The sequence below is a fragment of the Homo sapiens genome, chromosome 1, assembly GCF_000001405.40.
Source record: "Homo sapiens chromosome 1, GRCh38.p14 Primary Assembly".
In the NCBI taxonomy this organism is placed as follows: domain Eukaryota; kingdom Metazoa; phylum Chordata; class Mammalia; order Primates; family Hominidae; genus Homo; species Homo sapiens.
In genome coordinates, this window is record NC_000001.11 from 70,144,699 (window position 1) to 70,157,587 (window position 12,889).

Here is a 12,889-nt window from a genome sequence, read left to right on the forward strand (position 1 = left end):
TGATCTGCCCGCCTCAGCCTCCCGAAGTGTTGGGATTACAGGCGTAAGCCACTGCCCCCAGCCAAAAAGGCATGTTTTTTTTAAAATGAAAACATAAACATTGTAATCAATATTTGAAAAATGTAACTTTTATTCTGAACATGTAGTATTTATCTTTATTAGCAATTTTTTTCATAATATAAGCATGCCTCAATCATCCAAAAGCTATCTACCTATCTATATAAATTGATATACATGCTACTGAATTGACTTCTTAATAGAATCATATGGTAAGTGTTATAATGACTAATCAACCTACTTCTGATAATTTTGGTGTAAACAAAAATGATATTTAATTTTTATTAAATCAAGTTTACCTATCAAATTCCCTTTTAGAAAAACACTGCAAGTTTAGTCTTACCAAGATTGCAAGTAAATTTTAAAATTATGGTGCTGTAAATAAAAAGGTTTTAAGTTGAAATGTGTACTGAGATTAGCCATATCACAAAAGTCCTATCATGGGTAATGAAAAGTCTTATTTTTAATATATTTTTGTTTCCTTTTTCTTTTGACATGTGGCCCAAGATAAGAAGGTCTTATTTTTTAAATGCCAAAGAACAGTATTCAACAAAATTCGATTTAATTTTATATCTAACAAAAACATAGAAACTGGCTAGTCATATTCAAGTCAATTGGTCACATTGTATGGAATACAAAAATAAATGAGAAAAAAAACCAGTTCTACAAAAATGCTTTGTTATTATAATACTGAACCACATTAAATAAAAATTCATTTTTGAAAAAACTGCTTGCTATAAGAAAATGAAAGTTAGCAGGATAAATCATAAGCAAAACATTTAGAACAAATGTATGAACACATTGTGGTTATCACCATTACAAATGTATACAACACCTTACAAAAATCTTAAATAAAAATGTAAAAATATTTACTGGCAGTGAATATGGCCCAGGCTAATTATACCAACAGGTAGGTGATACTGGGAAACTACAAGATCAATTACAATAATCACCTTTTAAGATGATACTAAAACAAATGTTACATCCTCCTTAGAATTAACCAGGGTTAATAATACATGACAAGGGTTATAAAGCAACTCCATGTTAAGTAGGAATTCGGTCTCTCAAATATTCAAGTATAGCAGCTGTTCCTTTCATTAATATGGCTGCTCGAGGAACTCGGAATGGATTTCCATCCAGTAGTAATGTTCTAAACAAAAGAGAGAAATTGAGAATGTAAACATTTTCCATTAACAAGGTTTTTCATCTAATTTCATTTGCAATTTTATAAATAAAATTTCTGTATTTTTTTTCTATTTGCCCCTTTTTATTTTTATTTCTTTTTTTGAGACAGAGTCTCACTCTGTTGCCCAGCCTGAAGTGCAGAGGTGCAATCTCAGCTTATTGCAACCTCCACCTCCCAGGTTCAAGTAATTCTCATGCCTCAGCCTCCCGGGTAGCTGGGATTACAGGTGTGTTCCACCACACCCGGCTAATTTTTGTATTTTCAGTAGTGAGGGGGTTTTGCCATTTTGGCCAGGCTGGTCTCAAACTCCTGGCCTCAAGTAATCTGCCCGCCTCAGCCTCCCAAAGTACTGGGATTACAGGAGTGAACCACCATGCTTGAGCTATTTGCCCCTTTTCATATCTGAACATTTAAACATTAGAATTATAACTAATTAATAACCCAAAACATATTAATTGAATACTTACTTTGTGAAAGGTACTGAGCCAAGTAATTTATATTCAGTCACTCTTAACAATCCTATTTTCTCAACAATCCTATGATGTAAGTACCATTAATAGTTCTGTTTTAATAGATGAGGAAATACAAATTTAGGGGGGTAAGAAATATTGTCTAAGATCAAACAGCTACTAAATGATGGAGCTGTGATTTGAACCACCCTTTTATCCAGCCTTCTCAACCTTATTAAGTGACTGTATACTAAATGGTCAAGTAAGATTTAAACAAATATCAGCATGAGTCATCCAAGCCAAGGACTGTAATGTAATCAATGTATCACCACCACTGCTCCACCCCCTGCCTCCCAAAACATTAACACATTCTGCCCTCTCCCTCCTTTGAGCAGATACACATATATAAATCTATTTACATGTTCTGAGAGTTCAACTTAAGATTTAAGAGCTTGTTTTGTTTCATTATATAATAAAATATCTTCAATTAAGAGAGGCTTTTTTATTATTTTTAACAGTTAAGTGTTTATGTAAACAAAAATCAAAGGACTCAACCATATTGTTGATCTAAATTATATCTTCAAATATTTCTGTTTCTTGGGAATTCTTTTAAAGACTTATTTTCTTAATTTCTAGAAAAAAAGTTGATTACAGTTGATCCTCATTATTCATGGGTGCTATATTTGCAAACTTGCCTACTCACTAAAGTTTATACCCCCAAATCAATGTGTGGCACTTCCGAGGTCATTCATAAACAGGCACAGAGGAGCAAAAAATTGGAGTCACCCCACGGGCATGTTCCCAGGTGAGACTGAACAAGGTGATGCTTTGTCTTCTTGTTTCAGCTCTTATACTGTAAACGGGTCATTTTGGTGGTTCATTTAGTGCCACGCTTTTCAAATTTTCATACCTTTGTTGGTGATTTCACTGTGTTAAATGGTCACCAAGTATAATGCTAAAGTACTGTCTAGTCTTCCTAAGGACAAATGTGGATTACGAAAAAAATACATGTGTCAGGTAAGCTTTGTTCAGGCATGAATTATAGTGCTGTTGGCCATGATTTCAATGTTAATGACACAACAGTAATATTAAATGAAGTATCTTACTACAGAAACACACATATAACAAAGTTATATATTGACTGGTTGCTGAAAATGTTGTGACTAGACTCTTGCAAGAACCTAACCCCTGTATTTCCCCCAGAAGCAATAGGTCAGTATTCACTAACTGGGTGTTCAGAGTGTCTATAGAACATAACTGCCACAAAGAATAAGAATCAACTGTATTTATAGTCTCCTATAACTTACTAACATGAGGTACTAGAGCAGATACCAGTGTTGCTCCAGTGAAGTAAAATATACCAAATCATTCATATGCAGTTTTCAGCAATTAAATTACTTCTGACACATTCTGCTTAACCACTTGGCTTTCTGTCGATACCTCAAACCTCCTTTATATTCACTTAATAAGCACTTACTGGGTGTTTACTATGTTTTAGGCACTGGGACAACTCTTTTCCAAAGAAAGACCCAAAAATCGTACAAATAAGTCCAAATGAAGCATGATGGGAAATCAGGGACTAATTCTGCTTGGAGGACAGGGAAGGCTTTCAAAGGTGACATTCAATAGGCCAATTATTGATGAAAACAGGGTAAAAGTACCTGATGCTGAGGGAACAGCAGATGTAAAGAGTGAGAAAGACTGTACTGGGCTCAAAATAGAATGGTGGTAATCTGCAATCAATTTCAAAAAAAAAAAAAAAAAAAACCCTGTATTCAAAGCTAAGGAGTTAATATTTCCCCGACATTTTTATGCAGTAGAGATTCAGGTTATAAACATACACAGTGATAGCGAAAAGCCACTAGAAATAATTAGTTATTATATTCACACATATACCATATAAGCAAAACTAAAAATATACATTTGGTAAAATTTGAAAAACAGAATTGGGACTCTGGGTTTTGTTACTTGTTATTTTTAACAGGATATTAAATCTGTTACTTTAACTTCTTGCAAATTTATCTGAAAAAGAAAAACAAATCACTTCAACAAATCAATAAAATAAATGAAACAATGCAGTAGAATGGTGTAGTTACCTTAAGTTTACACAATTACCGAGCTCTGGTGGAATTTGTAAGAGGTCATTATTTTGAAGGTCCAACGTGGTCAGATTTTCCATCATCTTCATTTTCTGAGGGTCCACAGATCCAACCTGATTATTACTAATCAGAATTGTTTCAAGTGTGAAGATACGATATAGAACTTCAGGTAGCATTTTAAACCTATTAATACATGAACAGAACACCTAAATATACTGGAATCAGACCAAAATCATTCCTTAAAACATATTATCTTAAATTTGACATGACAGTTTTTTCTTTAGTGTATGTTATTCTGTAATTGGCATTAAGTCCTGTATTTGAATTTTACAAAAAATAAAGAGAAAGGGCTAATTTTGAAAACCTTGAAATACATGTTAAACAGACAGACTTGTAACAGTTGCTATTTATTGTATAAAATCAGCAAAACTTCAGAGTAAATTCTCCCAGTAAATTTTTCTGTTCACATTCAAGAGGAAATCTTCTCTAAATGTATCCATGTAGGTATTCTTCCTTTCACTTTTACTTCTTATGAAACATAATCACTCCCAATATATTAAGTAAAATTCAAGATTTATATTTTGCTTTGACTGAGGCTTCTAAAATGAGTACACTTTGGGTTCTTAAAAAGATAACAAATTAGCATAGACTGCTGGCTTTCTTGTCCAAGCAACCCTGAAGATGCCACAAGATATGGGAAGGCTAATAGCTCTCAAAGCAATACTTGCAATTAACGTAAAATGGCTGAGGACCCCGCAGGGCACAAAGGCTAGCACAGTTTTAGCATGAGGTGAACTGCAGCCTTGACTAGAAAATAGAAGAATGGGCAGGAACGAGAGCTTTGGCCTTTTCATTTCCGCATACTGCCCCCTTCCTTTGCTGCCTTGATGAAAAAAAGCAATAGTGAAGTGTAAACTCAAGGCAGTGCTGAAGTTCCAGTAAGACTAGAGAAGCAATAGCCAAGAGTACAGATGGACCAAATGACCCCTTAATAGGCTCTTCTCTTCCCTCCCTGCAACCCATGAACAAGATAATCACCTGATAACACGGAAGTTTAGGCTAGCTTTTGGCACTTCCCCAAAGACATTACTTGCAAGGCAATTGTTAGCTCAATTGACAACACAATATAAAACTGATAGCTCAATTCACAAGTAAAAATTAGGAGAGATGTGAGAAGTGCACATATTTTAAAATAATGACAATAATGGTGCAATCTATATACTAGAAAGGACAAGTAATGGAGCAGACAGAAGAAAAATTAAAATGAGCAATATTTTAACATCACTATGCATTAGCTTCCTCATCTATAAATGAGGAATAATAATAGTACTAAACATATACACTTGTTATAAGGATTAAATGAATGTATTTGAAGACCTTAGGACATTATCTAGGTTGCATTAAACATTAGCTGCTAATATTTTATTTTTTAAATTTTATTTATTTTTTGAGACAGAGTCTTGCTCTGTCGCCTAGGCTGGAGTGCAGTGACGCAATCCTGGATCACTGCAACCTCTGCCTCCTGGGGTTCAAGCGATTCTCCTGCCTCAGCCTCCTGAGTAGCTGGGTTTACAGGCCACCACCACGCCTGGCTAATTTTTGTATTTTTAGTAGAGATGGAGTTTCACCATATCGGCCAGGCTGGTCTCAAACTCCTGACCTCAGGTGATCCGCCCACCTCGGCCTTCCAAAGTGCTGGGATTACAGGTGTCAGTCACTGCACCTGGCCAGTTATTCATATTTTAATTAAATTGTTTTTAGAATCCATTTTCATCATAAGAAACAATGTGACATAGTTGTTAAGAGCCCAACTTCTGGAGCCAAACCACCTGGACTCAAATCTCAGCTGTATAATTTACTATTTATGCATACCTTAGATGAGTTATTTAGCTTCTAATCCTTGATTTTTAAATGAACACAGTAACAGAACCTACCATGTAGGGTTCTTGTAAGCCTGAGCTATTACATGTAAAGTACTTAGTACAGCACCAGCAGAATAATAAGCTCCCAATAAATATTAGTTGCTCTTAATTATCTGCAGTATCTTGATAGTGTTTGCAGAACAAAATCTAAGTTTCGTTGAGCACAAAAAGCTCAAGGTCTGGCTACTGCTTACTTGCCAGACTTTATCTGTTCCTTCTACTCCTCTACCTGTTTGCTTTATTGTCCAAAGCACATTGAACTTCTTGAAGTTTCCCAGACACCCCATATGTTCTCACATCTTTGTGCCTTGGCATATGCTATTAGCTCTAACTAGAATGCTCTCTACCTGAATGGCTGGCAAATGTCTATTTTTCAAACCTCAGTTTCAATGCTATCTCCTCTACCTTAAAGTAATCTCAGAAGACATTTTCCTGTGCACTATCCTTCCATTAGAGCAATTGTAATTATTTATTTTGTCTTTTTAGGCCACAGGTTTCTCAAAATGGTAAAAAGGAATGAAAAATATGTTAGACATCAACTATGAGAATTCTAAGAAAATAATATTTTTAACTCTAAGAAGAACTAAGTGAAAATAAAATCTGGATATTGAAATAAAGTAGAAGGGGCCTTTTTGTTTTTTTGGCTTTTGTTTTCTCCAATGAGAAAGATCTACATATTTCCACAGAATAACAATTAGAATTGTCTGTTCTCTTACCTATTAAAGGAAAGATTGATCGTTTGCAGTCTTACCAGTGATTCCATTTCTTCTGGCAAAGAATTTAAAAAATTGTTCCTAAATTGGAAATCAAAACAGAAGATTTACAAAGTTTGAAAAATTTTACAAGTTTAATTTATAATTAAAATATTGAGCAGGAAAAAAAAATATGTAGATCAGTTTGTCAATCCTTGATCTGACTTTATAAAGGCTGAGTTCTGAGAATTCTGAATCAGTCACCTACCGCAGTTATTCGGTTAGTATGCCAAATCCTAATAATACCAATATGCAACCAATTGATAATGCAATGAATTCTTTACAGGTTTAATAGTGATTACAGGGTAAACACTGTAAACTAATTAGCTCCTTCAAAGTGGGGTATTTAATATTTCCCCCATGTCTATAATACCACATAAATATTCCATTGGTGTTAATATATATGACACAGACATGAAATTCTACTCTAAGAGGAATTTAAAAATTATTTTAAAAATGAACCAAGAAGTTAAAAAGATTCTATTAAGAGATTTGGAGTTTTCTACTCCATAGGTATAAAGCAAATCTATTCCTACTCTAAGTTTAGAATTTAAATTTACACAATGACTATTTTTTTTTTTTAGCTCTTACAATGAAACATGGCAATAAACAAAATCTCATTTACTGTTGGAAAGATCTGGGAGCAATGTTAGAAGAAAAGTTAACAAAAAGGTAAAAGGATTTTAGGAGCCAATATAACTACTAATAATGAAAATACCTGTGAGAAAATTATTCCCAACTAGATGACTACCTATTACAAATAAATATTTTTCTCTAACCTATTTCTTTGTGTTCAGAAGTCAAGCCTAATATGTAAAGTCATACTTTCTACAGTACAAGCTATATTCTTTTTCTATATCTACATTCTCTGTACTTTTCTCCAGTTATTGTCTGCATTAAGTTGTGTTGAATAACCCACTCAGCTGGTTTTATACTATTTACTTTCAGAAAATAAACAATGTGAAAAAAATACTTTCCATGTCTTATTTGTAATTTTGCTTAGAATGGGTTAATATTTTCAGTAATTTTGTCTTATGACGTAACTTGTAAATTGCTTACAAATTATAAATGTCTGATTACAGTATTTTTCCTGAATTCTGTCTCGGGTTTCCTAAACACTATTTTTGGATTCTCCTAAACTATTGTTAATAAATAAAGGCCAGTTTCCATACATACCTAGGAAAATATGAGGTAAAAAGAATAAGTTAGACAAAACTCAAAGACAAGTTATAACTTTTTAAAAAGTCAAGCAATAGTATCAATAAATACCTGAGATCTAAAAAAGTCAATTTCTGAAGCACACATAACTCCAAGGATATAAAGGAAAGTTTATTAAAACTGAGATCGACATCAGAAACCATTTCCTTCAGTTCTACCATCCTGAAACAAAAATAATTTTAAAATGTTAGCACTTGAATTCACTGCCAGAACTTCAAAACTGTAAGCAGATCAAAGGGGGAAATTCCTATATTTAACTTCTGCTAATTATGACTTTTTGTACCTTTTACTTTTTCACAGGAACATTAATGAGTTTGGATATGTAACTAATAAAAATAATTTTTCAAAAAAGGCTCACTCTTATCTGTCCAAAAGTTTCTATTTGGCTTTATATATACATTAAAGTTTCACTTAAAAAACTATTTATTTTATATTTAAACCAACTATGGCACGAAGGAGAAAAATCAAACCTAGAAAATTTTTATACTTTATTCTATTAATAACTTGAATCCATAAAACAAATTGTTAAACAGACATCCTGTAACATAGTAGTTTTCTACTACATAAGTAGTGTATTACCACTAAGGAGCTTTAGTTTAAAACTTAAAGAGGAAGAATTAAACATTTCTAAGTAAGCCTAATCAAGGTTTATAGTTTTATTCCTGTTATTAATATGATTTACTAACAAATGAAAGTTGGCTGGGCACGGTGGCTCACACCTATAATCTCAGCACTTTAGGAGGCTGAGGCAGGTGGATTACTTGAGGTCAGGAGTTCAAGACCAGCTTGGCCAACATGGTGAAACTCCGCCTCTACTAAAAACACAAAAAATTAGCCAGGCATGGTGGCGGGCACCTGTAATCCCAGCTACTCGGGAGGCTGAAGCAAGAGAATTGCTTGAGCCTGGGAGGCGGAGGTTGTAGCGAACTGAGATCATGCCACTGCACTCCAGCCTGGGCAACAAGAGCAAAACTCTGTCTCAAAAAAAAAGACAACCAAATGAAAGTTAAATTACAACTTAGTCTATCTCATTAGCAAAGAAAAAAAAAAGAAAGGATATAAAATGCTGTGCTGAAAAAGATGTAGTAAAAGAAAATGAGTTTCAATGTGTAACTGATAAAACTTGATAAAACTTTTTTTGATATATCGAGTCAAACTCTGACTTAATAATTTTTCTAGAAATCTGGCCTAGAGAAACAATATGTTTCCTTTATTGTCATAATCAACCTTAAAGTATACAGTTAAATTACATTTTTAAAGTATGGTTTATAAACAGAAAAATACTTATGACAAATAAACCAGTCAAGATACAAATTATGGCCAAGCATGGTGGCTCACACCTGTAATCCCAGCACTTTGGAAGGCCAAGGCAAGTGGATCAGTTGAGCTCAAGAGTTTGAGACCAGCCTGGGCAACATGGCAAAACCTGGTCTCTACAAAAATTAGTGGGGTGTGGTGGCATATGCCTGTAGTCCCAGCCACTAGGGAGGCTAAGGTGGGAGGATCACTTCAACCTGAGAGGTTAAGGGTGCACTGAGCCGCGATTGTGCCAGTGAACTCCAGTAGGGGCAACAGAGTGAGATCCTGTCTCAAAAAAAAAAAAAAAAAAAAAAAGACACAAATTGCATGTATAACTCCAAATGGAGAATAGCTTGAAATAAAATATGCAGTATGCCACAAAGTTAACCGAGTAAATCAGTGATGAAACTACAACTGATATATTCCTTTATTTATTCCAAAATTTTATGAATATGTATTATTTTTATAATCTTTGGTGAAAAGCATGAATTGTTCATTAAAATTTTTTTAAAAAGGGAAAGTGGTTTGGGAACTTTCTAGAGAAAAGCATGGCTTTTTTAATGCAACATGTCCATGTAATAAGGCATGTCTTGATTATTTTCTTGACATTCTAAGTTGCTCAAAATGTGATATAATAGCTGTGTCAACAGAATGACATTATTTTGCAAAAGAAGAGCCAGATAGTGAGATAAAATGAGGCAGTAAATAATAAGTAATGTCTCTTAAGTATATCTTTATTCCCAATTAACTTATTTGATCCAGGACCCCCCGCCCAAAGCAAACTTGTCCTATCTGAGAGCAAATCTAAATGCTCAATTCTATCAAATATCCTCTCAGTCCTTTAAAACAAGAGAGAACCAGAAGATGGATTAGAGATCCCTTTTGCAATGGACTATCTTAAATTTGTCGTCTTTTAAGATCTACATTCCCTAAACTATGCTCTGAGAAATAGAAAGCAAATTATATTTTGTCTCACTTTTTAAAAGCTTTAAACATCTAAAAAATTTTTGATAGTCAGATGAAAGTCATTCAACTTTCTCAATTCATCACATCACTCTCCTCCACGACATCACCTTTTTTTTTCCTCTTAAGTATTTACGTGCATAAAAGCATTAGGCTCTAGTTAAATGCTTTGTGTGGATTATGTCATTTAGTTTAATTCTTATAAACAGGCACTATTATTATCCCTATTTCACAGGTGAGAAAACTAAGAACAGCTAGTTAACCTGTCCAAAAACTATACAGCAGGTCTGGGATATGGTATAAGCAATTGACTATATTGCTCAAGTTCCTTATCAGTACCCTATCCTGTCTCACATTGGGTTGTTTTAATTGCTAGATTATCTGTCAGCTTTCTTTGGGTATATAGTTTACTGCTAGATAACAAATGTTTTTTAAAGTTCAACAATATACTAAATTAACACTCATAATCTAAAGATTTTGCTGTAATTAACAACAAAAAATGTATTTAACAGTACAATGTATAAAGCAAATGACTGCATGTGAAGAATCCTTTTCTAGGAGAAAAATATTAACAGGCTTCAGTTAATTTTGCTTTTCCTATCAGTGGAAAAATTAGTGGCTTGGCAATTCATTAACATAAAGCCCCAAATGGAAATTCCTATTAATCCACATGGACCTGATGTTAGACAGTCTCTTAACAATTTTCCCTAATATTTCATTATGTGAGAGTATATATAATTCCCTATATTTCATTATATGGGAAAAATAATGTTTTTAATAATTCTTATACCCATTTTCCAAGTTTAAACATAAAAGAAAAAGAAACAAATTTTTTTAAAACCTCTATACCTCTCAGAACAAATGATAAAATTGTGTCAGTAAATACTTAATGACATTTTGCTAAATCCCTCTAATATTAATAATGTAAAAATTTTTACATATAGTTTTAAATTTAAAAACCAATATGGAAAAACCAATTTAAAAACCAAGATGGAAAAACAACAGAATGAGTCACAACCTATAGACATGGCATCATAGTTCTTACCTTTTTGGAATTTCACATAGTTGATTCTTACTGAAGTTAATAGAAGTGACGATGTTGCTTTTTACTGCATCAAACACCTCATCAGGAATCAAAGTTGCTTGTTTATCACTAAATGAAAAATGGTTTTAAAAAACGAACCATTCTTAGCAGTCCAAAAAGATATGATTATTACTCTTCATTTTTAAAGGTGTTTAAAGATTTTATGAAATTTTTCAAAGCCATTGATTATAAAATTTTGTAACAAATGCCACATAATCTACCAAGCCATAAAAGGTTCACTGTTAGGAATTCAGACAACATATTGTGTTATAACATATTGTGCTACATTTTCTGGGCATTCATATACTCAATGTGAATAAAAATAGATATTTATCTTTGGAGTCTAAGATATCTACAAGTCATATAGCAAATGGAGCCCATTCCTTTACCTCTGAGTAGAATTAAATCTATAATTTTAAAAGCTAGTTGTTGCCCCATCTTAAAAATCTATAAGAGGAGTTTTCTGTCAAATTTGTTTGGGTATATAATTTCTACAAGATAATAACTTTTTTAAAAAGTTCAACATTATACTAAACTAACTAAAATTAGTTTAATTAATTTAAAATTAGTTTAATTTTAATTTAGTAACCTGGACCAATTTCTCTCTCCTTTAGTATGTGACAAGGTAGACAGAGCAGTGGACTGAGATTAAACTATTCCTATTTCTACCATTAATGAGCTTTATAACTTACCTCCCCTGAATCTCAGTTCTGTGACATTAGAATCTGAAGGACTATTTATTGTTATTTATGCCACATGTTTTCAAATGTAAATATAAATAAATTTCCTCTTTATTAAAATTTTCAGTAAGGTTTTCAATAAAATATAAATTTAATCTTAAATGAAAATACAGTAGTTCCCCTTTATCCAGACCCCCCGGGGATGCCAGAATCTTCTGAGAGGACTGAATCCTATATAGTATACACCATATTTTTTCAATCTGATAACAAGATGACTACTAAGTGACTAAGGATGGGCAGCATATACAGCATAGATATGCTGACAAAGGGATGATTCATGTCCCAGGTCATGAGACATGACAGGTCACAGAGGGCAGGTCAGAGAGGGATAGCATAAAATTCCATGATGCTACTCAGAATGTGCACAATTTAAAACTTATAAATTGTTTACATCTGGAATTTTCCGTTTAATATTTTCGGACTGCACCTGATCACAAGTAACCCAAATTGCAGAAAGTGAAACTGTGGATAAGCGGGACTACTATATAGAACTCTAACATTTGCAGATTTAACTGTTTTTTTAATGTAATAATTAGCCATTATCCTTACATTCTTCTTTTAAAATTATTAGTGCTTAATACAATGTCATCTACCTTCAAGAAACTTCAACGGAATGCCAAATGAATGACTATGAACAGAAAAACATTACATATAATGTATAATATGGAAGAACTGTATAAGAAATGCATTGTAATACAAATATGTAAAGACAGCCTACATTTCACAGTTATTATACCTTCTACTTCTGCTTTAGCATCCCATTTTCTTCTGTGTAGATGCAGCATTTTCATCTCTTCAATCACAAATGCTCAAGTTCATGGGGAACTGACTCATGCTAGTCAGACTTAAAAGATTCATGCTATTTAAAAATTTTAGTTGAAAGCATTTATGCCTTGAGATTGATAATTTATATTTTAAATAAGACACTCCTTTCCAGTTAAAGTCTTTAAGAAAAACAAATCCGAATAAATTTAGAATCAAAGTAATCTAAGATTATGCTTTTGTGATATCTGTGCCTTTAAGAAGTAGAAATGGTTATCCCAAATAAAATTGGACCAATACTACTTTATAGATTGTCTGCATGATTAAAAGCAACAGCATATGTACCTAGTACAACACC

At 33.0% G+C, this 12,889-nt stretch overlaps 1 protein-coding gene across 3 annotated transcripts in view, besides 1 other annotated feature; it reads right to left on the reverse strand.

Moving 5' to 3' along the window:
* Positions 1-106: 106 nt before the first annotated feature.
* The window catches only part of LRRC40 (leucine rich repeat containing 40), a 60,775-nt gene continuing 47,992 nt past the window's right edge, over positions 107-12,889 (reverse strand). For all 3 annotated transcript variants that reach the window (XM_011541763.2, NM_017768.5, XM_047424520.1), the window contains 5 exons: positions 10,991-11,098; positions 7,735-7,845; positions 6,430-6,507; positions 3,789-3,974; positions 107-1,207 (listed from right to left, as the gene is read on the reverse strand). In XM_011541763.2, coding sequence (XP_011540065.1) covers positions 1,102-1,207; positions 3,789-3,974; positions 6,430-6,507; positions 7,735-7,845; positions 10,991-11,098 — 589 coding nt within the window. In that variant the 3' untranslated portion in view covers positions 107-1,101. The remainder of the gene's footprint in view (positions 1,208-3,788; positions 3,975-6,429; positions 6,508-7,734; positions 7,846-10,990; positions 11,099-12,889) is intronic.
* Positions 11,908-12,202: an enhancer, noted in NCBI's record as "tiled region #3760; HepG2 Activating DNase matched - State 16:ElonW". NCBI's record gives its function as "activates a minimal TATA promoter and a strong SV40 promoter by Sharpr-MPRA in HepG2 cells {active_cell/tissue: HepG2}" and the evidence as "EXISTENCE:reporter gene assay evidence [ECO:0000049][PMID:27701403]".